The sequence below is a fragment of the Homo sapiens genome, chromosome 2 (assembly GCF_000001405.40).
Source record: "Homo sapiens chromosome 2, GRCh38.p14 Primary Assembly".
In the NCBI taxonomy this organism is placed as follows: Eukaryota; Metazoa; Chordata; class Mammalia; order Primates; family Hominidae; genus Homo; species Homo sapiens.
The window spans coordinates 165300172-165323020 of record NC_000002.12 but is presented as its reverse complement, the minus strand read 5'-3'; the positions used below and the strand labels follow the sequence as shown (position 1 = coordinate 165323020).

General features: G+C 36.6%; 1 protein-coding gene across 5 annotated transcripts in view; it reads right to left on the bottom strand.

Moving 5' to 3' along the window:
• SCN2A (sodium voltage-gated channel alpha subunit 2) overlaps window positions 1-22849 on the bottom strand; it is a 152891-nt gene that overhangs the window by 69284 nt on the left and 60758 nt on the right. For 3 of the 5 annotated variants that reach the window (NM_001040142.2, NM_001371247.1, NM_021007.3), the window contains exons 4-11: window positions 15084-15173; window positions 14227-14355; window positions 13578-13669; window positions 12426-12698; window positions 10933-10996; window positions 9260-9401; window positions 8913-9119; window positions 7263-7550 (exon numbers count right to left, since the gene is read on the bottom strand). In NM_001040142.2, the coding sequence (NP_001035232.1) occupies window positions 7263-7550; window positions 8913-9119; window positions 9260-9401; window positions 10933-10996; window positions 12426-12698; window positions 13578-13669; window positions 14227-14355; window positions 15084-15173 (1285 nt within the window). Of the gene's footprint in view, window positions 1-7262; window positions 7551-8912; window positions 9120-9259; window positions 9402-10932; window positions 10997-12425; window positions 12699-13577; window positions 13670-13764; window positions 13857-14226; window positions 14356-15083; window positions 15174-22849 lie in introns of all 5 variants that reach the window. The other 2 variants (NM_001040143.2, NM_001371246.1) reach the window with 1 other exon arrangement.

Here is a 22849-nt window from a genome sequence, read left to right as displayed (position 1 = left end):
CACCCCTCTGATGACTGCTGGTGGCATTTTGGCACTTTCTACAAGGTTCACCTTTTCTATTTCACTCTCGCTTTTTCTCCTTCCTCCATTTTCCATCTTCTGCTCTCTTTTCTCCTACTTTACCCACACCTCAACATAGTCAGAAGTGTCCCCATAATGTTTTGTCCTGTTACGGGCATCTAGAACTGATACTGTTGATAGACCCTTCTTTAGAAGTTAATTTCAGTTAACAACCCAATGGAAAACAATTAAACACAAATCTACCTTTAGATCCTCTGAGGTCAAAAATGTAGCCAGTAAGAGCTCGCTAGTGACCACACCCTGATGCAAATCTTACCATGGAGGAAATATAATTAATCTTGCTAGTAGGGATGTTTAATTATAGTACACGGGGCAGCTTCTCCACTTCCCTTTGCATATTTTATGATGGTCTTCATGAATAAATTAAATCAAGCTGAAATAACTGTATGATTTATTCCCCAATTTTCACCCCTTTGTCTCTGTCTCAAGAAATCTGAGGGCAATATTTACAAAAACTTAATTTTCACTAAGAGGCTGATCACAACCATTTAATTTTTTGTTTTTTTAAATCAGTACCCTGTTCAGCCTTGAGAAATAATCCTCAACTCTCAGACCAGGTTATCTGGGAGACACTAATTTCAACTCCTGGATGCAGCAGGACTTGAGGCTCGGGTCTCCCAGTGTTCCAGGCACTGTCCTAGGCCTAGCCAATCAGTGTATTCGATACGTAATTTAAAGATGGTCATGAAATCCTGCTTGGTCAATTGAAAGATATCCCTGTCTTTTACAACTGTTGAGGAAATGGTGCTTTTTCACTTGAGGCTGCTAAAAATATTGGCTTTAAGTTTGGAGCTGCAGTGACATCTTGCCACCATGTGGGAGGAACCTAGATTCAGATATGGAGAAAGACATGGTCATGGTAACATGTCTTGAGCTTCTGGATCCATCCATGCCTAAAGCTACTCACAGACATAATTTATATCATCTAATACATTCTCTTTTTTACTTCAGCCAGCTTGCATTGGATTTATGTAATTATTATTGGAAAGAATACTAACTTCATCATTTAAGTATTATTGGTTTGATCTTTTCCTCTCCAAAGGTTCAAAACTAACTAAAACCATTATTTTATACCTACTAATATCTAGGTTTTTATATGCCTGACTAATATGGTTTGGCTGTGTCCCCACCCAGATCTCATCTTGAGTTGTATCTCCCATAATTTCCATTGTTGGGGGAGGGACATGGTGGGAAATAGTTGAATCATAGTGGCAGTTTTCTCCATACTGTTCTCATGGTAGTGAATAAGTCTCATGAGATCTAATGATTTTATGGGGAGAAATCCCTTTCACTTGGCTCTCACTCTCTCTTTGCCTGACACCATCCATGTAAGATGTGACTTGCTCCTCTTTGCCTTCTGCCATGATTGTGAGGCTTCCCCAGCCACATGGAACTGTAAGTCCAATTAAATGTCTTTCTTTGGTAAATTGCCCAGTCTCAGGTATGTCTTTATCAGCAGCATGAAAACAGATTAATACAGTAAATTGATACCAGGAGTGGGACGCTGCTGAAAAGATACCCAAAAATGTGGAAGCAGCTTTGGAACTGGATAACAGGCAGAGGATGGAACAGTTTGGAGGGCTCGGAAGAACACAGGAAAATGTGAGAAAGTTTGGAACTTTCTAGAGACTTATTGAATGGCTTTGACCAAAAGCCTGATGGCAATATGGACAATAAGGTCCAGGCTAAAGTGGTCTCTCATGGAGATGAGGAACTTGTTGGGAAATGGAGCAAAGGTGACTCTTGTTATATTTTAGCAAAGAGACTGGTGGCATTTTGGCCCTGTCCTAGAGATTTGTGGAACTTTGAACTTGGGAGAGATGATTTAGAGTATCTGGCAGAAGAAATTTCTAAGCAGCAAAGCATTCAAGTGGTGACTTAGGTACTGCTAAAGGTATTCAGTTTCATAAGGGAAGCAGAACATAAAAGTTTGGAAAATTTGCAGCCTGACAATGTGACAGAAAAGAAAATCCCATTTCCTGAAGAGAAATTCAAGCAGGCTGTAGAAATTTGCATAAGTAATGAGGAGCTGAATGTTAATCCCCAAGACAATGGAGAAAATGTCTCCAGGGCATGTCAGAGATCTTTGCAGCAGCCCCTCCCGTCACAGGCTCGGAGGCCTAGGAGGAAAAAGTGGTTTCATGTGCCGGGTCCAGAGTCCCACGCTGTGTGCAGCCTAGGAACTTGGTGCCCTGTATCTCTGCGGCTCCAGCCATGGCTGAAAGGGGCAAATGTAGAGCTAGGCCCATGGCTTCAGAGGGTGCAAGCCTCAAGCCTTGGCAGCTTCCACATGGTGTTGAGCCTGTCAGTGCACAGAAGTCAATAACTGGGATTTGGGAACATCTGCCTAGATTTCAGAGGATGTATAGAAACACCTGGATGTACAGGCAGAAGTTTGCTGCAGGGGCAGGGCTCTCATGGAGAACCTCTGCCAAGGCAGTGAGGAAGGGAAATGTGGGGTCAGAGCCCCAACACAGGGTCCCTACTGGGGCACTGCCTGCTGGAGCTGTGAGAAGAGAGCCACTGTCCTCCAGACCCAAGAATAATAGATCCACCAACATCTTGAACCGTGTACCTGGAAAAGCCACAGACATTCAATGCCAGCCCATGGAAGTAGTCAGGAGGGAAGCTGTACCCTGCAAAGTGACAGGGGTGGAGCTGCTGAAGACCAAGGGAACCCACCTCTTGCATCAGCGTAACCTGGATGTGAGACATGGAGTCAAAGGAGATCATTTTTGAGCTTTAAGATTTGACTGCCCTGCTGGATTTTGAACTTGCATGGGGCATGTAGCCCCTTTGTTTTGGCCAATTTCTCCCATTTGGAATGGCTGTATTTAGCTAATGTCTGTATCCCTATTGTATCTAGGAAGTAACTAACTTGCTTTTGATTTTTCAGGCTCATAGATGGAAAGGACTTGCCTTGTCTCCGATGAGGCTTTGTTTGGACTGTGGACTTTTGAATTAATGCTGAAATGAGTTAAGACTTTGGGGGACTGTTGGGAAGGCATGATTCATTTTGAAATGTGAGGACATGAGATTTGGGAGGGGCCGGGGGTGGAATGACATGATTTCTCTGTGTCCCCACCCAGATCTCATCTTGAGTTATATTTCCCATAATTCCCACTGTTGTGGGAGGGACCTGGTCAGAGATAGTTAAATCATGGTAGGGGTTTTCCCCATACTGTTCTCATGGTACTGAATGGGTCTCATGAGATCTGGTGGTTATATGGGGAGAAACTTCTTTTGCTTGGCTTTCACTCTCTCTTTGCTTGCCACCATCCATGTAAGGTGTGGCTTGCTCCTCTTTGCTTTCTGCCATGATTGTGAGGCTTTGCCAGCCACATGGAACTGTAAGTCCAATTAAACCTCTTCCTTTGCCAAATTGCCCAGTCTTGGGTATAACTTTATCAGCAGCATGAAAACAGAGTAATACACTGACCAATAAGTATGCTTTTTATTTTCTTTCCAGCTAAAGAATTACTTTTTCTCAATAATATCTGTTAGTTTCTATTAAATGTCTGTAAATGTTAAACACTATCTTATGTGATTCTATTCATTATTTACAGTAAGAACCACTTCTTTTTTTTTATTTATTTATTTTTTGAGACGGAGTCTCACTCTGTCACCCAGGCTGGAGTGCAGTGGCGTGATCTCGGCTCACTGCAAGCTCCACCTCCCAGGTTCACACCATTCTCCTGCCTCAGCCTCCCGAGCAGCTGGGACTACAGGCACCTGCCACCACGCCTGGCTAATTTTTTGTATTTTTTAGTAGAGATGGGGTTTCACCGTGTTAGCCAGGATGGTCTCATCTCCTGATCTCATGATCTGCCCGTCTCGGCCTCCCAAAATGCTGGGATTACAGGCATGAGCCACCACACCCGGCCTAGAACTACTTCTAAGAAGACTTACTGCTCCCACAACAGAAGTCATCTCTCCTCTTGTTGTTCCCATGCTTTTTAATCCTATTAACTACATTAGTAACATTCATTCTTTTCTTTTATCATTTTCCATACAAGTAGTTATTTTTTAAAGCCTTTCTTAGACTATCCATCCTTTTTCGTGTCTCCTTTCTCTCCTCTAACAAGGGACTTCGAATTAGCTATGAGGAAATAACAGTTACGGGATTTGCAGGATGTGTGACATACTGCTCCTCATTAGCTAAAAAAGAAAGGCAAACAATACATGCTTTGCAATGAAGAATGTTTCTATCGCTTTTAGTAAGAGTTTATATTTTAACTGCCAGTACCCCATTCAGCTGGAGCCATAGAAGGGTTGGAAGAAAATAAGTTATAAGTTTGCATGTTTCTCAAGGATCATGGATGAATTAAGCTATACAAAAACGTAGTTTACATGTGACAGCTATATGAGAAATGATTGTGCCCCATCCGTTAGCATCAACTTCTTTTGCTGACATTCATTACATAAATGCATAGTAATCAAATGCTGTAACACACAAAAAAGATGGCCAGTAAGAAATATTCCCCATACCAAACCAATCTTTAAAAAGCAAAACTCCTAAACTCCTAGCTTATCACAAATAAATAATAAAGTAATGATTTAAGGTCAATTGTACCTTATAAAGGTTTCAAAAAAATCCAGATTATCTTGAAACTTGTTTAGAGATTACATTCTTGACTTTCTTCTCCCCTCTTTACCACACTAACAAGTCAAATCAGAGTCTGAGAAACAATTCATATTTCCACTTACTCTACTAAAGAAATTATAATCTTGCAGTAAAGGCTTGCATTGTATAGTTTTTCAATACAAACACAGAGATGGTTACCAACACAATCATGTCATCACAAAACAATAATTCCTAATATTTTGGGGTCTCAAACTCTTAAAAATCTAACAGACACGATGGGCCCTCCATTGCTATACCAAGATTAAGTACTTCTATCTGGTTTGACATTTTCAGTATTACTTTCAGGGCTTGCCAAGTGGGGTTGGTGTGATTTCAGGGTTTTCTGTCTCTCCTCTCTTCTTCCTTTTCTCCTTTCCCCCCTCTCTCTTTCTCTTTCTTTCCCTTTCCCTCTGTCTTTTTCTGTCTCCCTCTCCATCCTCTTAGACATTTGTTTGACTATTTCTTTATCAAGCAAAATAAAGTCTTTAACTCTATTTTTATATAGAGACTGCTTAAGAAACAAGTATCAATATGAGCCAGCCATGCCATGTCTTCTAAGTCAGTGATTGCTTATAATACCCAACTAGCTGGGAAATGGAGGTATGTAGAGGTATGAAGAAGAGGCTGCTGGGAGAATATCATATCTATGAACAAAATGTACAGAAAAAGGAAGGACAGAGCCTAGCCTTATCAGGCTTCACTATTTTGCCTAGAATTAGTTTTATTCAATTAGAAATAAGGCAAATTGAAGAGAATCTCTGTGGTAAGTGTTTGATATGAAGTTGATATGAAGTTTCAAATCTAGGCCAAAATTTAGGCAAATTTTGGCCAAAACTTAGACAACTTCAGGCAAAAATTCAGACAAACTTAGGTAAAAATGTAGGCAAAAATACTCTATCTTCCTCCCTCCTTTGCTCCCTTTTTTCCTCTCTCTCTCTCTCCCCCCTCCCTCCCTCCCTTTCTTTTTCTTCCTTCCTTTTCAGAATGACTAATACTGTAAACAGGGGGTTTGCCTTTTAAAGGATTCCTATTTATTGATTAATGTTTCTACTAATGGAATCATGATTGTGACAACAAAATGAAAGAGACCAAGTAAATTTTGATATTTAAAGATCCTATGTTAAATTTGAATTAATCCCCAAGTATGCAATCTTATGATGTTATTTGGATTTGAAATGAATAAGGCTGACCTAAAAAAATTTATATATATCACATGTGAGGTTATGTGAGCTTGTCTATATTATAAAAAGGTAAAAGAGAAAGTATAATGCCATTGTGTATTTTAAATAAAGTTATATTGTAAATTTCCTTATCAGTTTTTAAAGGCATTCTTCATAGGCAACTTGATAAAGTGGAAACTTTAAGGTTTTCAGTACCAGGCAAAATTTGAATACCAACAACCCTAATATGAACAAGACACTCAAAGATCATAATAACTTTTTCTATTGCTATATGACATTGTGCAACTATTTAACTTTACTGATCCAAAATAGCTTTTTCATTATAGTAATGAAAATAATACTATTCTACAGAACTGTTAGCATTAATTATGAGAATGTAGAAAGAATGCCAAGCATAAAATAGGTACTCAACAAAGAATGCAGCCCCCTGCTTCTCTTCACATATAAAAATTGGGGATATTAACTAAATTAGAACTTACCTAGGGTTGCAGTGAAAGGCTTAATGCATTAATATTGCAAATAACAACACAGTGTATAAATATTAGCCATTATCAATGTTGTTGTTGTAATTGTTATTGTTACTGTATAGGTATTAAGGTTTCACTCCTGGTGAAAATGTCTTCTGAGGTACTGTGTATTCCTGTGAATTCTCTTGGTAATTTCAAAGACAATTAAGATTCTAAATTTTAAAATTTCAACAACTTGCATGAGTACAAAAGGCAGAGGCATCCAGTGAATATTTGTTGCAGTTTATAAATCACAGTATTCTTCAAATGCAAGTCCCATGTTTAACATGAAACACAGATAATCAAGTACAACTAAACACCACTTTTTATTTCGTGTCATAAATCTCCCTCAGTACCTGCCTATCTGAGAGTTTTGGCTACTTTTAGAGATATTTTGTTTCAGTCCCCTTTGAAACAAAGGCATGAAGAATGCACTTGGCAAGTGATGTTTGCACCTTATGGGAACAACCCCGCAGGTGGCCTAAAAGAGTCTCTGGTCCACTTCTGGGAATTTGTCACTCAGAAAACCCAAAGTTCACTAGATCCACGCACAATAGTTAAGAAGAGATGGGAACCATCTGCTGATAATTCCTGATGTGGAAAATTTCTCCAAGATTTTTCAGTCTTTAAGAAAACCTCAAAACCGCAAATTTTTCCAAACCCAGAGGGATCTAAAATTTCCTTCCTGGGATTCCAAAAAGTTGCAAAACTCACAAATTCTCTGAAGTGATAGCCAAAACACTTGATAATCATCACTACTCTGAAAGCATTGTGCCATCCAGGTGGAAGGCGGTTTTCTCTCCATTAAATTCTGGCATATTTTTTTAAAAAATTTATGAGAACACAATTCATGTAATTTAATATTTTTACCTGGTGTGGAGAAGAAAATCTCTTTTCATATGTCAGCCTACTTCCTTCCAAGGAAAAACGGAAACCTTTTCTTCTTATGCTGTCTTCAGATTCCGATTTTCGGACTCTGTCATTTTTCTCTTCTTCTCCAGACTGTTCTTTCTGTTTCTTTTTCTTTCTTCTGTTTTTCAGCTCTTTTTCACTTTTGGAGCTCAACTTAGATGCTACTGAAGAACTCTCTGAAAAAACTCCTATCCCACCAGCACCACTGAAGTCTCTTGATTCAGCAGATGCGGCTGCAGCTGCCGCCTAGAAGGGCGCAAAGTATGTGGAAGTTGCATATAAACTTAAAAAGTAATTATCATGTTACTGCTTAATTGAGCTTCAATATCATGAAGATAATCTTGAAAAACAATTCTCCATTTTATTCTGTGTTTTAGAAAACAGTACATTGTTATTAGACCAATCAAAGAGTAAAATGGGCATTCATATGGAAGATGATACATACGACTTTTATGAGAACCTTCAAGCTCTGTCCTCACACTATGATATCTAATTATCTAATAATATGAGCAAGACACTTAAAGATCATAATAACATGTTCTATAATTCAAACAATATTTTAAGAAGGAAATAATATGGGAATTAAAGACTTCCTATTTAAACCTGGTAGACATTTGCCTTTGATTCCATTTTCACACAATAAAGAAATTTAGTGCTAGTCTGAATTATTAAATGTAATTCAGTCAAGTATTTTATTTTAATGACATTTTTCTCCGTGATTTAAATTGGGTATTTCACTAAGAAATGCACAGCAAAGACATAATACAGAGTGTTTATTTGAGAATCCTAGATCATGGCATCTGCATGAACTTGTAAAGTATAACAGTAGTTTTGTTGCTATTACAGCAATATACTTTGACCTTTATTACATATTTAGGAATACTCGGTAATAAAAGGGAATTGTATTCACCATACATGAAAAGACAAAAATAGGCAATTGGATTAGTTAATGCCATTAAGTCAAGCAAATATAATTAGAGAAATTCTTGCCTTATTTTGAAGGCTTGTCAAGTCCAAATTAAAGGATTTGTAGAGTAGGAGGCAGAGAGTGCTAATGTTTTAATATGTTTACACACTAGTGATTTACTGATGTAACCCACAAACTTGCATTTGTACACTTTATATAAAAGAGAACAAATATTGAATAAGCCTTTGCCTTTCCAGACTCAATGAAATAATTTTCTTAGTTTGATTCTGGTTTTCTGACCCTTACCACCTCTGGTGATACTGCAATGAAGAAGCAAGTGTAACTGAATTCCTCTTCCCCTAAGAAAATACTTCAACTGAGGACATGTAGGTTTATCTACTCTGCAAGTTTGAGTACATGAGGCCTTTGTTAATCATTAATTTCCTCAAGGAGTCACAAGGGAGAAAAAAATGTCAGTAAAGCAATTATAATTATCCATTTTTTGATGCCATTACTATTGACACTATTGACAGAGATCATTGCAATAAAGTAATAACTTCTTAATAACCAAACAGGCTCCTAGCACTTACCAAACACATATGACCTATTTCTAATGTCAACTACCTTGCCACTGACCTCAACATTTAGGTTAAAGAATTTAGATAAAGAAAAACAAAGGACCGTATGCTTGTTCACTATACCTGAGCTTCTTCTTGTTGCTTTTTCAACTGTTCGAGCATCTGCTGAAATTCAGCTTCCTTCTGTTCAGCCTCTTCCAATGTGGCCTGATTCTGTTCCTCATAGGCCATGGCCACCACAGCCAAGATCAAATTTATTAGATAGAATGAGCCCAAGAAAATGACCAGCACAAAAAATATCATGTACGTTTTCCCAGCAGCACGTAGTGTCTGCAAAATGGAAGAGAGATTTTAATAAATTTTATATAGGATGTTACAAACTTACACTCTAAGTAATAAAATATTCTACAGCAATTCTCTTGAGTTCGGTGTTTTATGATTCTCAGAAAAATGATTTTATCTGTTCTCACCAGTTGATAAAGGTTTTCCCAGAAGTCTTGAGTCATGAGACGAAATAAGGACAAAAAGGCCCAACTAAAGGTGTCAAAGCTCGTGTAGCCATAGTTGGGGTTTCTACCAGCCTTCACACAGATGTATCCTTCAGGACACTGGCTATAATTAGGTTAGAGGAAAGAAAGGAAGTCAATAACGGCAAGTCTGCTAATTGGTTTTCCTGTTTTAATATATGCCAATGTCTGTTTTATACAGGCACTAGAAAAAAGCCGATTTCTCTCACCTTACCCAGTACTTAACTCAGCACTAAGTGGACTGATTTATATAATAACAGAATCTATAAGGTCTACTTTGTGGATTCCTCTGTGATTCATAATTGTCATTATTATATTTATTATGTCTCCATATAAAAGCAATCATATCATGATTAATATCTTCTGGGACTTAAGGGCAGTTAAAAAAGTCTGTAAGGAAAAAGTTGATTTTCACTGAGGATGTCTTGAGGCAGAAATGTGTGTAAGTGTGGGAACAGGGTAAAGAAGTGAGAAAAGGATAGGTGGGGCATGCTGCAAGGAGTGAATGACACTGTGTGGTAAAAATGTCATAGGAGGACCTTGAAGATCAAGCAGACCTGGCTTCAATGTCTTGCCTGACACTTCTGAGCTGAACGATCTTGGGCAAGTTACTTAACTTGCTAATCTTCAGGCACCTCGCATGTGAGAATGGGCTAATAAGAGAACCTGTCTCACAAATTTGCAAACATTGAAGAAGATACTGTATGTAACGCATTTAGTACAGTACAAACAAGGAATGAAAATCAATTGATTTACTTATCATTGGAATCTGAAGATAAAGGCAGCATAGCACTGATCGTAGGAGCCAAATGGAAAGCCTATTATCACTGGGAATTTTGCTACAGGTATTAGCTACTAATGTCCACAGTATCATCGTCCAAAGAAAGTGCATTAGACTTTTGTGTGTGGCTCTAAAATCTTGCTAAATAAAGAAAATTAACTGTGTTTTTAAATTTTCCTAGGATTTAGCTCCATGTTTCTTAATAGCAAACATTTGCATGATCCCAATAATAACAATTACAAGCACTTATTGAGCGATCTAAATAGCTATACATTTATTAATCCACTTCATCATCACAAAAACCCTATTATTATACCCATTTGTCATATAAGGAAACGAAGGCAAGAAGAAATGAGATTATATGATGGAGTCAAAGTCTGACTCTATGCAGACTCTCCAGTTTATGTTTGTAACCACTTTGCTAAAATATGCTAAATACTCCCCATGTCTCAGATATTAACATTATTTTCAGAGATCTTACATTTTAAGCTATGGAGAACACATTAGTATATATAAAATATGACACTTATAAAAAGTATGTGCTTAAGAATTCTATTAAGCTTCAGATGCATATTATACTGCTTTATTCTCTATTTTACATTGAACTAATTTGGAAGATTAGATGTGACCTAGCATAGAAAAATAATTGCAGTAAATGACTGTGTGAAAGAGGTGAGAATCTACACTTATCCTGGCTATTCTGAGAGTCACCGTGAAGTAGAATTTATGGAGGGTTTTGAGTGAGGAGTGAGTGGGACTGGATGAGTGGGAGGTGGCAGGTTATTGACACTGATGGAGCAGTGTGGACTGAAACTCAGTAGGAAGCATCACTTACCCTGCATCTGAGCTGTTGCCACAAAGCAGAGCATCATTTTGCCCCTCTAAAAAATAAAAGTGACCTATTTAAAGAGAAAGGAATAGAAAGAATCATTAAAATCCTGTAAAACACTTCAGCCACCCTGTTTAGGTGGCAAAGCTCACAAATGTTTTCAATCATAATGAGATGGATAAACTAATAAATATATATGGCTAAAGAGATTTTTCACAATATTGAACAAATATCAATATATAACATTTTTGATTATACAAATGGTTAGCAAATCTATGTTAAAAAGAAAAATGTTCAGAAGGAATTACTATGATAACATTCTTATATCAGCATTCATTGCAAATATAAGCTCAAATTGCATGGGATACATTAAGAAAGAGCTGCCAGTCTATTGCTGGGCACAAAAAGTAAGAAAGAAGAAAGCCTTGTTGTTTCTAGGTGTTTTCATGCAAATAAATTTTACCTTACATATACTTTTCTCCCCAGGCTCAAAATAGATTCAGACATTTTTTCCCGCCAATTTTAACTTAATTTCCTGTGAGAAGTGGGATTAGGTATTTATTCCCTCTTATGATACTGTAAATAAGTGTTTTGTTTGAAATTTTTGCTTGATTTCTGCCTTTCAAATGAAGAAAATAAACTTGTTTCTTTGGAGAGATATGTTGTCTGAGTATATCTAGTTTTTATTTTTAAGCTATGGAGAGCTATCTAGTTTTTATTTTTAAGGCATGACATATAACTTCAGTAAGTTGCAAAGATGATCTCAGAAAACATGCACACACATGCAAACATACGTATTTTTATATTCACATACAAACATGCACACACATATGAAAAATGACAGAGGGGCTGGGCTCAATGTTAAGAAATCATGCTGAAGTATATGGCATAAGCTTATTCTGATGTTCATACCTTAAATATAATCAAACTAAACTGGTAACTACAATACAATGATGACACTAAAGGGACTAATTAGAATATGAATAAGTGAATGGCTAAATCAGGGTTACTTAACCTTCTGAGGAGCACACAAATTCTTATTTCATCTTGATAAATGGTTTCTCTATTTTCAGATATAGCATATGTACTCAATACATATGTTGCATCAACCAAATAGGGCCAAATTATTTCCCCTCAGTCTTCTTAACACATTTCAGTGGAATACACTGAATAGTTCAAACTACTGACTTATTTATTAAAATGACTGAAAAACCTGATTAATGTCTACCAAATAAACATTTTTTAATATGGCATAATATGAAATTACTTTCAACATGAGTATAAGACAACACATTTTCAAATGAGAACTTTTACTATATCAATGGACAGATAAGAAAAATAGAATAAGGTATCATTTGATATCTCTTTTATATGTATTAAATCATCTTAAATTAGTCTAAGTCACTTGATTCACATCTAAATTGAGATAATTTCCATTATATATAATATTTAATATTTAGAGAACTAAACAACTTAATGGTTTATAGAGTATATCTTACTTTTATCCTCAATATATTCATCCCAGTTAAATATGCTCACTGTCCTATTGAAAGTAGTACCATTCCCATCCAATGAATTGTTAAAGAAGGAAGTGATATTTATTTCAAAGGAAGAATTATCTGGAGGCCATTGCAAACATTTATTTCGTAGGTTGCCCATGAACAACTGCAATCCTATTAGCGCAAACACGCTTAGACAGAACACAGTCAAGATCATGACATCAGAAAGCTTCTTCACTGACTGGATCAGGGCCCCCACAATGGTCTTCAGGCCTACAAACAAAATCAGAAGGGGGAATTTAAATATACTACTCAACAGCTATTTTACCGGCAAAAATATCATGAGCTTGTCCTGGAAAATAAAAATGTCATGCAGAATGCCAACAATATTAGTTTAATGTTTGTGATTGAATAACATTTTCATGAAAAGCCTGCTAGCTGGTGAAAATGAATGAAAGCAGAACTTGTATGTTCATTAGAAAACTGTGAATGGAAATGAACCAAATGTGTATTTCCAAACACTCTTTAGAGCAAAAGAATGATTTTGTTATTCATGCTTAAACATCAACCTTGTGTAAATATTTTGCTTTTATTTGCAGATGTCTTACTCCCTAACCCCTTATTGGTTTTAGAAAAGTCTATGTGAATAGAGTAGTAAGAAATCTTGAAGTCGATGAATTATGAGGTTATATATTTGTGAATTCTGCAAGCTTGAGTATGGGTTAAAAAAAGGAAGACATCTGAAATCTGAGCCCCATGCAGCACTCATGCTATCCCTTGCTCTTTCATTTATCTGCAGCTTAAAAGATTGCCAGTTTTAGGCCTAAACTGTCAAATTTGCATCAGTCTGAATGTCTCTTAGTCTAGCTTCTATGCGGAAAGCTTGATGTTATAGGATGCAAACCATGTAGCCTGTTACTGCAAATGCCTCATGCAACACTTGTTAAACTCAAAGGCTGATTTAGAATAGTTTTAAAGAAAGCAACGAGTAAAAAGCAAAGAATCAAATCCATCCAAAAAATGATGTACCAATTCTTGCTTTTTTACATATTTATTTGCAATATGCAACTAGCAACAAGGCTTCTGCACAAAAGCTGTGATTGTAGCACCACTGTAGCTAAAGTCAGCCTCGGTGTTTAACCTAGCTCTCACCTGGAATGACTGAAATTGTTTTCAATGCTCGGAGAACTCTGAATGTTCTCAACGCTGAGACATTGCCCAGGTCCACAAACTCTGTCACATATCTGTAATAGGGGGTTCACACACAAACACAATGACAGAACACAAGAAACAGTTGGAGATATAAGGGGCCTACCACCTTATACCATTTTCTTCTTACCTGGAATTACAGAAATAGTTTTCAAAGCTCTCAAGACTCTGAAAGTTCGAAGAGCTGAAACATTGCCTAGGTTTACAAATTCTGTTACATACCTGTAGAATTAAATCAGAGTTATTCAGAATTTAGGGAAATCTACGTCTTCCTTGGTCTTTCATCAAGACCTTTTTAATTTCATGAGTGTCGCCATCAGCTTTCCCAATTAAGAGGAAAATGGCATTGTCATCAATCATAATCTCTGTTATTTGGGAAACTTTATTACTTTACAGTGCTAATTGAAACCAAAGCCATGTAATTTACTATGATAGTTCCTAATTTCTCCAAACTGGATAATTTGATTGGAAGAAAACTATGATTACTAAGAAAAATGCTTGGTCTGTCAAGGCAAGCCACCAAGGAAAATATAGTATAGGCTCCCACCAGTGATTTACTCTTCCAGGATAGAAAATGTATTAAGATACTTACGCAAAAGTAATGACTGTGAAATCCAACCAATTCCATGGATCCCGTAAAAATGTGAAATCTTCTAAACAAAAGCCCCTTGCAAGTATTTTAATAAGTGATTCAAAAGTATAAATTCCTGTAAAGGTATACCTGAGAGAAAATAGCCAAGCTCACATTAAAAATCTAGTGGTTAATTTACAAGTACATATCTTAAAGATGACATAAACAGCAAACAAAAATTAGACACTTCCAGGTTGGTCCCCCTACGATATAGAGTTTAGGTGGGGCTTAAGTCAAAAAAGAAACATTAAATTCCAAAAGACATTCTCATTGACTGTAAATAAATGTATATTGCATTTTCCACATTAATTAATTTAAAGGATCCAAATAATGTGGCTCTATATGAAGACATAATCTGAAATACACTGGCATTCAGTCCGATTTGAGCAAATAGGTATTAATACAAAAATGAGTGAAGCATTTGTATTTCATAAAATATGCACCATTAAAAGCCATCAAACATATACTAGTAACACAGAACTGTGGTAGTCATTAAAAAAGGAACATAAAAACTAGGTATACTTTTTATCAGTAGATATTAGTAAATCACTGGTGATCTTCAAAAGAACATAAGACTCACAAAGAAGATAAAGGGCTGCAGATAATAGCAGTCAAACTACTGCAGTAATTTACACAACTAAGTGAGCCCACTACAAGCTTTGTCCTAGAAGACATTTAGTGACAGAAATGAATTTGAATCAGGGTCTGGTTAACAGTAGCTAGCATGATTTGTTAAAGAAATTGAGGAGGTCTCAAGGTGTTAAAAGCACAATATGAAACATAAAGGGAGGTCAATATTGAAAAATATTTATACTTACTCCACATTCTTTGTCCAGTCTGGAGGGTTACTCATGGTCATAAATACACAGTTGGTAAGAATCGTGCACATAATGAGCATATTGAATAAAGTAGAATATCGTCAAGGAAGACAAAGTTCAATGGAAAAATCTTACTTTTATGCACTACCATGCCTTCACCACCATGAAGTTTAAAACTTTAGTGCTTACTATTATTTTGTTGCTTATTATTCTATTATTGACCCTTTTTTTTGCCATTTCTATAACTCAGCAACCTCATATTTAGATCTTGTCTTCAGGCCAAGCCATCAACTATTTTGAGGCTATTTAGGTACCTTTAGCAATTAAAAAGATTAAATGCAAAGAAAGTAGTTCATCAGTGAATAATTTATCAACTTAAATTTTCTTAACGACAGACTCAACTGAACATTAAAACTGCAAGTTCAGCACATATGTAAACCCTGGCAAAAATTCAACAAGACAATTCAAGTAATTAATTAAATGTATTATAACATCATTCTAAAAGTTACCCTGGTGGAATGTCTTATAATAAGGTCCTTTCTAAACAGAGGGTATAATATACTGTAATTGCTCATAAAATCCTGAACTATGAGAGAAGATGGCAGGTGTTAGCACTGGCATTTCTGGGGTTTGTAACTAAGGCAAAATTACTTATTAAGTTCCCTGAATCTCAATTGACTTGGTTATAAAAGTAAGAAAAAGTAATCATGTAACAGGATTGCTATGAAGATCAAATTTGTTAAAATATGTAAGTCTCCTTCAACTTAATGGCCCTAGTGCGTAATAGATGCTCAATGAATTGCTTCCTGGATCATACAGAACACAGTTTATTACAAATATTGGGTTGGTTTCACCCTATCCCACTTTGTCTTTGCAGGTATAGCCAATGCCCTTCACTTTCCTTGACATTAAAAAACAGCAAAAGACAAAAACCAAAACAACTATTTAAGAAAATATTCAGTATCAGATAATAGTAATGACTTTCATATTTAATAAAAAGCATAATAAAGATTTAGTTGCCATTATGTAAAGTGGCACTCTTTATCATTGTGAATCTGGACACAATTATAGAAATTCCAGAGAGGAAATACGTGCTCTTCATATCTTTTCTCACTCCTAATGTTTTTACTATAAATGATCACATTACTTACACATAATGAAATATCAACACTATTACAACTGGACAATGTTGTGTTGATCTAGAAAGAAAGTTCATTTGCATCTAGTACTGGTTTTAGTCAAAACAATAATAATAATTATTATTTTTTAATTTTAGTAGCTGTGCTGTAAGGCCCATGCTTAATTCTCAGTTTTTTCATCCATATGAAAACACTCATAAGTAAATGATGTGCATCAGCCACGTGAGGGCACTATAATCTAGAGAACACACACACACACACACACACACACACACACACACACACACACACACAAAATACCATTTCAAAGAAACACAATTTTTCTTTATTGCTATAACAAACAAAAAACTAAATTAAATAAAGAATGACTTGCTATTGGTATATAAAACTAGAGGGTCCCCTGTGCTTGTTGGTCTGCTGAGCCCTATTGGGGAAAAATAACACCCCGTGGCAGATTGGCACCATTCTAAATTTATGGTCACAAACCTCAGTGGTCCTCAACACAGTCCTGTATTTTCCTACTAGGCTCCATCTCCCACTCTCTGCAAAGAAAAATTTCAAATATTCTCCACTTTCCTCCAGCTTCCAACCCTCTTCTTTCTTCCGGCTCCATTTCAAGCTGAAAACTTATTTTCTACTTTACAGAGAAGAGACAGCATCACAATGCCCCGCCTCCACTTCCCACCCCCAAATCAACAAACTTTTCCACATTGAGACCAATTCTTTCCTCCTTCCTGTTACAGTGGGGAGGTTTCCAATCCCTCCACCGGTATTCTGGACACCTTCCCCATTCCAGAAGACTTCAGCAATCTCTTATCTCTCTCTTTTCTTATCCTTAATGGCTCCCACCTTACTGGCTTTTTCCCAGCAACACAAACTTGCTTACGTCTCCCTTGTCCTGGCATAGGGGAAAGGATATTTCTCTCCTATGACTCACAACCCTCCTTAACTACTACAGCCTTATCTCCCTTTTCCATATCATGGCCAAACTTTTTGAAAGAGCTGCTTATCTTTCCTTTTCTTATATATCTATCATATATTCAGCCTACCAGCTTTTCTTTCTAAAGATGGCAACATCTTCACGTTTTGTCACTAAAAACAAAAGGATAATTTGAGATTATATTTGACATGCTTTCTAAGCAGCATTCAACAAGGATGGTTCCTCCCCTTAGCATTAAGTTATCTTCCCTCTGCTTTCAGGAGGTTCCAATTCCCTGGCTTCTTCATGCCTCAGGGCACCAATTTCTCTGTATTCTTTGAAATGTGGCATTTTTCTTTTTGAAAAGAAAGACATAAGGTATGTAAGCCATCTACCTCTCTTCTACTCTCCTCATCCTAGTGTAGTCCATCAACAAACATTGCTCAACAAACATAACCATTATATACCCACCATTCTCAGATACTTCTCTCCAAGTGAGACCGCTCTTCTGAATTCCACATACTTGATTGTCCATAGGACATCTGTACTTACATATCTTATCAACACTTCAAATTTTGAATTCTAAAACTGAACTTTTGAAAAGTATCTTTTAATCTACCCCTCCATTCCTGCTAATTACTTACTCCTTTGACGTCTCTGTGTCTTATAAAATGTGCATAATATAGCCAGAGACCTATGAGAAATCTTAGATTTCTGTCTCCCCTTAAACGTTCATATCTAATTAACCATCAAATATTGTCAATTCTGCCTGCTATCTCTGGATTCAGTTACTTTTTTCCATCCCCATATCACTGCATGGTCCAAGTGTCTGTCAAGACTAGCATCAAATCTAATAGTCCATCTAGATTATTGCAGTCTCCTCTAAACTGATGTTTCCAAATTCATGTTTGGCTCCATTTAATCCATTCTGCATACTGTGCTAACACGACCATTGTAAATGTAATATGCATCATTTTGGTAGCTTTCTATTACTCTTAGGATGATGATCAAATGTCTTAACACAGAGTCAAGACGCTAGGAGGTCTGATCCCTGTCTACTTCTCCAGTTTCATTTTCTTTTCTCTTCATTGCATTATCCCCATTTGGATAATACTGTAATTATTTTAGGTTGTCAAATGTTATGAATGTTTTATATGCTGTTTCTGACTTTAGGGTCTTGGAAATGTCACCTCTCTTTTTCTTTAGTACTCAGATTGACCTATTACCAGTTATATACCCCAGCAGCCCTTATATTATTCCTCTAATGACAAATTTTAATGATGATCTTCTCAACTACTCTCTGAGCGTCATGAGGACAGGAATCATGTCTATATTATTCACCATTATAGCCTTGCTATTTCACAGTGTCAGTTGACTAATGAAATTAATTTTGCAATTCATTTGTTACTAAATGGAGTTTTTAAAAACAATTTCTGATAAATTATTTAAAAATACAGCATAAAGTTTGTCTTCAAATATATTGTTGGCCAGGTGCCATGGCTCTCGCCTATAATCTCAGCATTTCAGGAGGCTGAGGCAGGCAGATCACTTGAGGTTAGGAGTTTGAGACCAGCCCGGGTAAAATGGTGAAACTCTGTCTCTACTAAAAATACAAAAATTAGCCAGGCGTGACGGATGCCTGTAATCCCAGCTAATCAGGAGGCTAAGGCAGGGGAATCACTTGAACCCAGGAGGCAGAGGTAGCAGTGAGCCAAGATCACGCCATTGCACTCCAGCCTGGGTGACAGAGTGAGACTCTGTCTAAAATATATATACATATTGTTTACACAAGTTTCTACATTTTTTGAGGGTAAAAATATAAGAAAAATATAAGGTGGAAATTAACAGCCTTATGCAATTATGCTGCATTATGGACTCGGCAATGGTTTTATGACACTTAAAAACTTACTCTTTATAGTGGTATAATTTAGTTATATATAAAAAAGTAAAATATATATTTCAACATTAACAAGAGAAATAATTATTTTCTAATTAGTCACTGATAATAAGTCGAAAACAGGCATTTTCCTTATTTCATGGCTATCATTTTAATAAAAGTATACACTTAAGTTAAAACTTCTGATACATAAAAAGAACAATTTTGCTTTTAATAGAAAAATAGTAGATAACTAGGGTCAAGTTTTTACGCTTGTGGTTTGATAGGTATCTCTAAATAGAAAGGCTTAAAATTCACTAAGTTTCTAAATCATTGTTAATTTATTTCATCAGTCACATACTTTACAAATTCCTGGATTCTGGTGAGTGACTGAAATAGTTTCAGATGATCTTAAAAATACTCAAATATGGCCAGGCGCGGTGGCTCACGCCTGTAATCCCAGCACTTTGGGAGGCCGAGGCGGGCGGATCACGAGGTCAGGAGATCGAGACCACCCTGGCTAACACGGTGAAATACCGTCTCTACTAAAATTACAAAAAATCAGCCGGGCGTGGTGGCGGGCGCCTGTAGTCCCAGCTACTCCGGAGGCTGAGGCAGGAGAATGGCGTGAACCCGGAAGGCGGAGCTTGCAGTGAGCCGAGATTGCGCTGCTGCACTCCAGCCAGGGCGACAGAGCGAGAACCCGTCTCAAAAAAAAAAAAAAAAAAAAAAACTCAAATAACAAAAACTCAAATACAAAAGTATTTAATGTAGGTATGGATTTTGCATTGGTGATGCCATGCATCAAAAAAGTATAGAAACCCCACGTCAAAGCAGATTTCAAAAGGCTCAAACTAGTAGCAAAATGCATACATCCTATATTATTTTTTAAATGTGTAATCCAAGTCATAGAGTACATTTTTCAAAAGAACACTGTATCCTGGAACAATATTGCTTTAAGAACTTTTCAATGTAAAATAAAATAGAGGCAGATAAACCTTTTATAATATCAGGGGACAAAGATGTTTTTTAATCTATTAATTTCTTTATGCCAGGTATACATAACAGTGGGTAAACCTGTTGATTGATACTAACCTGCGAGTTGGCAAATGTAAAATATTTCCTTTGTGTATATTATGAAGAAACACTTCTTCAAGTTTTTAGTGAAAATTGTTTAAGTAGCCCTTGACATGGAGCCTGGATCATCATAACACTGGCACACCCACCCCTGTCTCCGTGGAGCGAGGATGAAGCACCATGAGATTTAGAGCAATGAACCATGGTCAGATACATCCCTTACCAGCCATGTGGGCTTCAGCAATTTGTTTAATTCTTTGAGGCTCAGTTTTCTTATATAAATGTGGATAATACTTTTCTTACAGTATACAGTCATTATCCACTAAGATAATAATTATTGGTTTCTTACCATTAATAACTCATTTATAGAGTATAAAATTATAGGACATTTCTTTGTTATTCTATAGGAAGGAAAAGACATTATGCTCTGTTCAGAGACTTTGTAATAATGTATAATATCCAGAGAAGTTGCAGAGGAGTTTTTAACCTATATATAAACTAGAAGTAGAAGATAGCCTGATGTTAGAGGTTTTCTAATGTAAAAATGGATAATTTGAAGTAGAATAGAATAGGTCTTTTTCTGCATACCAGTGCATATTTCTGAGCCAGCAGAAAAATCGAGTAAATGTCACATATACAGTGTTAAATATTGGATTGTTTAATTTTAATATGAACAAACTCCTATTTGCCAGTAGATAACTAAATGATAACATATGAGCATTGAAAACAAAAGAAAGAGAAATTGTTGTGTCATCTGCTTTCATATAAACCTGTATATTTCTTTTCATGGAAAACCATGATATTTTATATCTCAGTATGGACACTATTTAATGAATCAGTAAGTTGGAGCAACTAAGAAGCACCTTTGAAATGCATAAAACAAGAACACTGGCAATGCCCCAAGTATATTAAATCCGAGGGTTTAAAAATCATTTGTTTTCTATTGGATGCAAAATGCAAAGAGCCAAGAATCAAAAAACCTGGTCTGAAGTTTTAGCTCTGCCACTGATAGAAAATGTAGCCTTAGAAAAAACTAAATATCTCTGGGTTTCAGTGAACTCATCTACAAAATGAGACAGAACTGACCACATTGTTTGGGTCAGTTGCAGGTCTAAACTCTGGTGCTATATAAAGATTTTGTTTGCAGAGTCAGAGTAGGGATTTCTATAAAGTTCTTTGTGCAATTCCTTAAGGAATATGAGAGTTTCCTTTTTGCTAATCTTACAGCAGTTGCTGCTAGAATTTTAGCTATTACTGTCATAGATATCCTTTATTGAGTACCTACTAAGTACTAGCATGGGATCTGGTGCTAGATACTTGTCATACATTTTATCATTATTAATGTCTAAGCTGTGATTATAATTTTACAGATAGAGAAACTGAGATTCGAAAGAATTGGAGTAACTTGGACTAAGATCATATAGCTAAAAAGTAAATTTTAGAGATAGGGTTTGAATCTACGTTTTCTGATACCAAAACCTATGTTTTCCATTTTCCTACCATTTTCAAATGATAGGTAGTTCAGCATTACTAGTGTGATTTGGAGGGAGGGTCTCAGCTCTTTGGCAGCCTAGTCCAATGTCATGACTTTAAATACCAGCTGTACACTGACAGCTCCCAAAGTTGAACACCTCCAGCCCAGCCCTTTTCTGAACTCCAGATTTGCACAGCCACCTAACTCCTCAACTCCTCCAATGATGTCTAATAGGTGTCTCAAACATAACATGTTCAAAACCAAGATCTTGATCTTACCCACCAAATTGGTTTGCTCAAGTTGCCCCAAGCTCAGTCAACACAACTCCATTTTTCTTTCTTGACCAGACTAAATGCTTGGAATCATCCTTAGTCCCTGCCTTCCTCCTATACACCACAACCAATTGCTCAGCAAATCCTGTCAGCTCTTCTGCAAAATACCTCAAAATTTGATGACATTTTACCATCCTCATTGTTTCCACCATACTCCAAGCCACCATGCTCTCTTGCCTTCATAATGACAATCGGTCCCAGTCTCCTTGCTTCCACTCTTTCCCCTTATGCAGTCTATTCTCCATGAAGCAGCCAGAGTGATCTTTTAAATATGTGAGTCAAGTCATGATATCCTGCTACTGAAAACCCTCCTGGAGTCTCATTCAGAGTAAATGTGGTGTCCTCACAATGACCCACTGCACCTCGCCTACAACTTTAGCCCCTGACCTTCACTCCCACTGATGTCATCCTCTCGCTTCCTGCCTTTCCCACTCTGCTCCAGCCACTCAGGTCTCCTTGCTGATTGTTAAACATACTAGTTGCACCACCACCTTCAGACTTTACCTTCATACTTGCTGTTCTCCTTGAACTGACTTTATCCCTAGATTCCCATATCTCACTCTTTTGCTTCCTTCGGATCTCTGCTCAACTGGTACCTTTTCAGAAAGGATTTTACTGGCCATACAATCTAAAACAACACCTTGTCACTCCTCCCTTTGACACTAATTTATATTTCTTAGTAACACTTATCACTAGCTCCCAATCGACGTATTTGTTTATTGTCTTTCTTCTTCCAAACACACACACACACTCACATGAATGTAACTACATGAGAGTAGGAACTTCACTTTGTTCAATGTTGCATCCCAATGCTTACAAGAATATCTACCACATGGTAGATACTCAGTAAGTACTTGCAAATGAACAAATGAGTAACAAATGCAAAATAAATTAGAGGAGTGTGCATATATTAACTTAAAATAATAAAAGCTGACAGGAAACACATTTA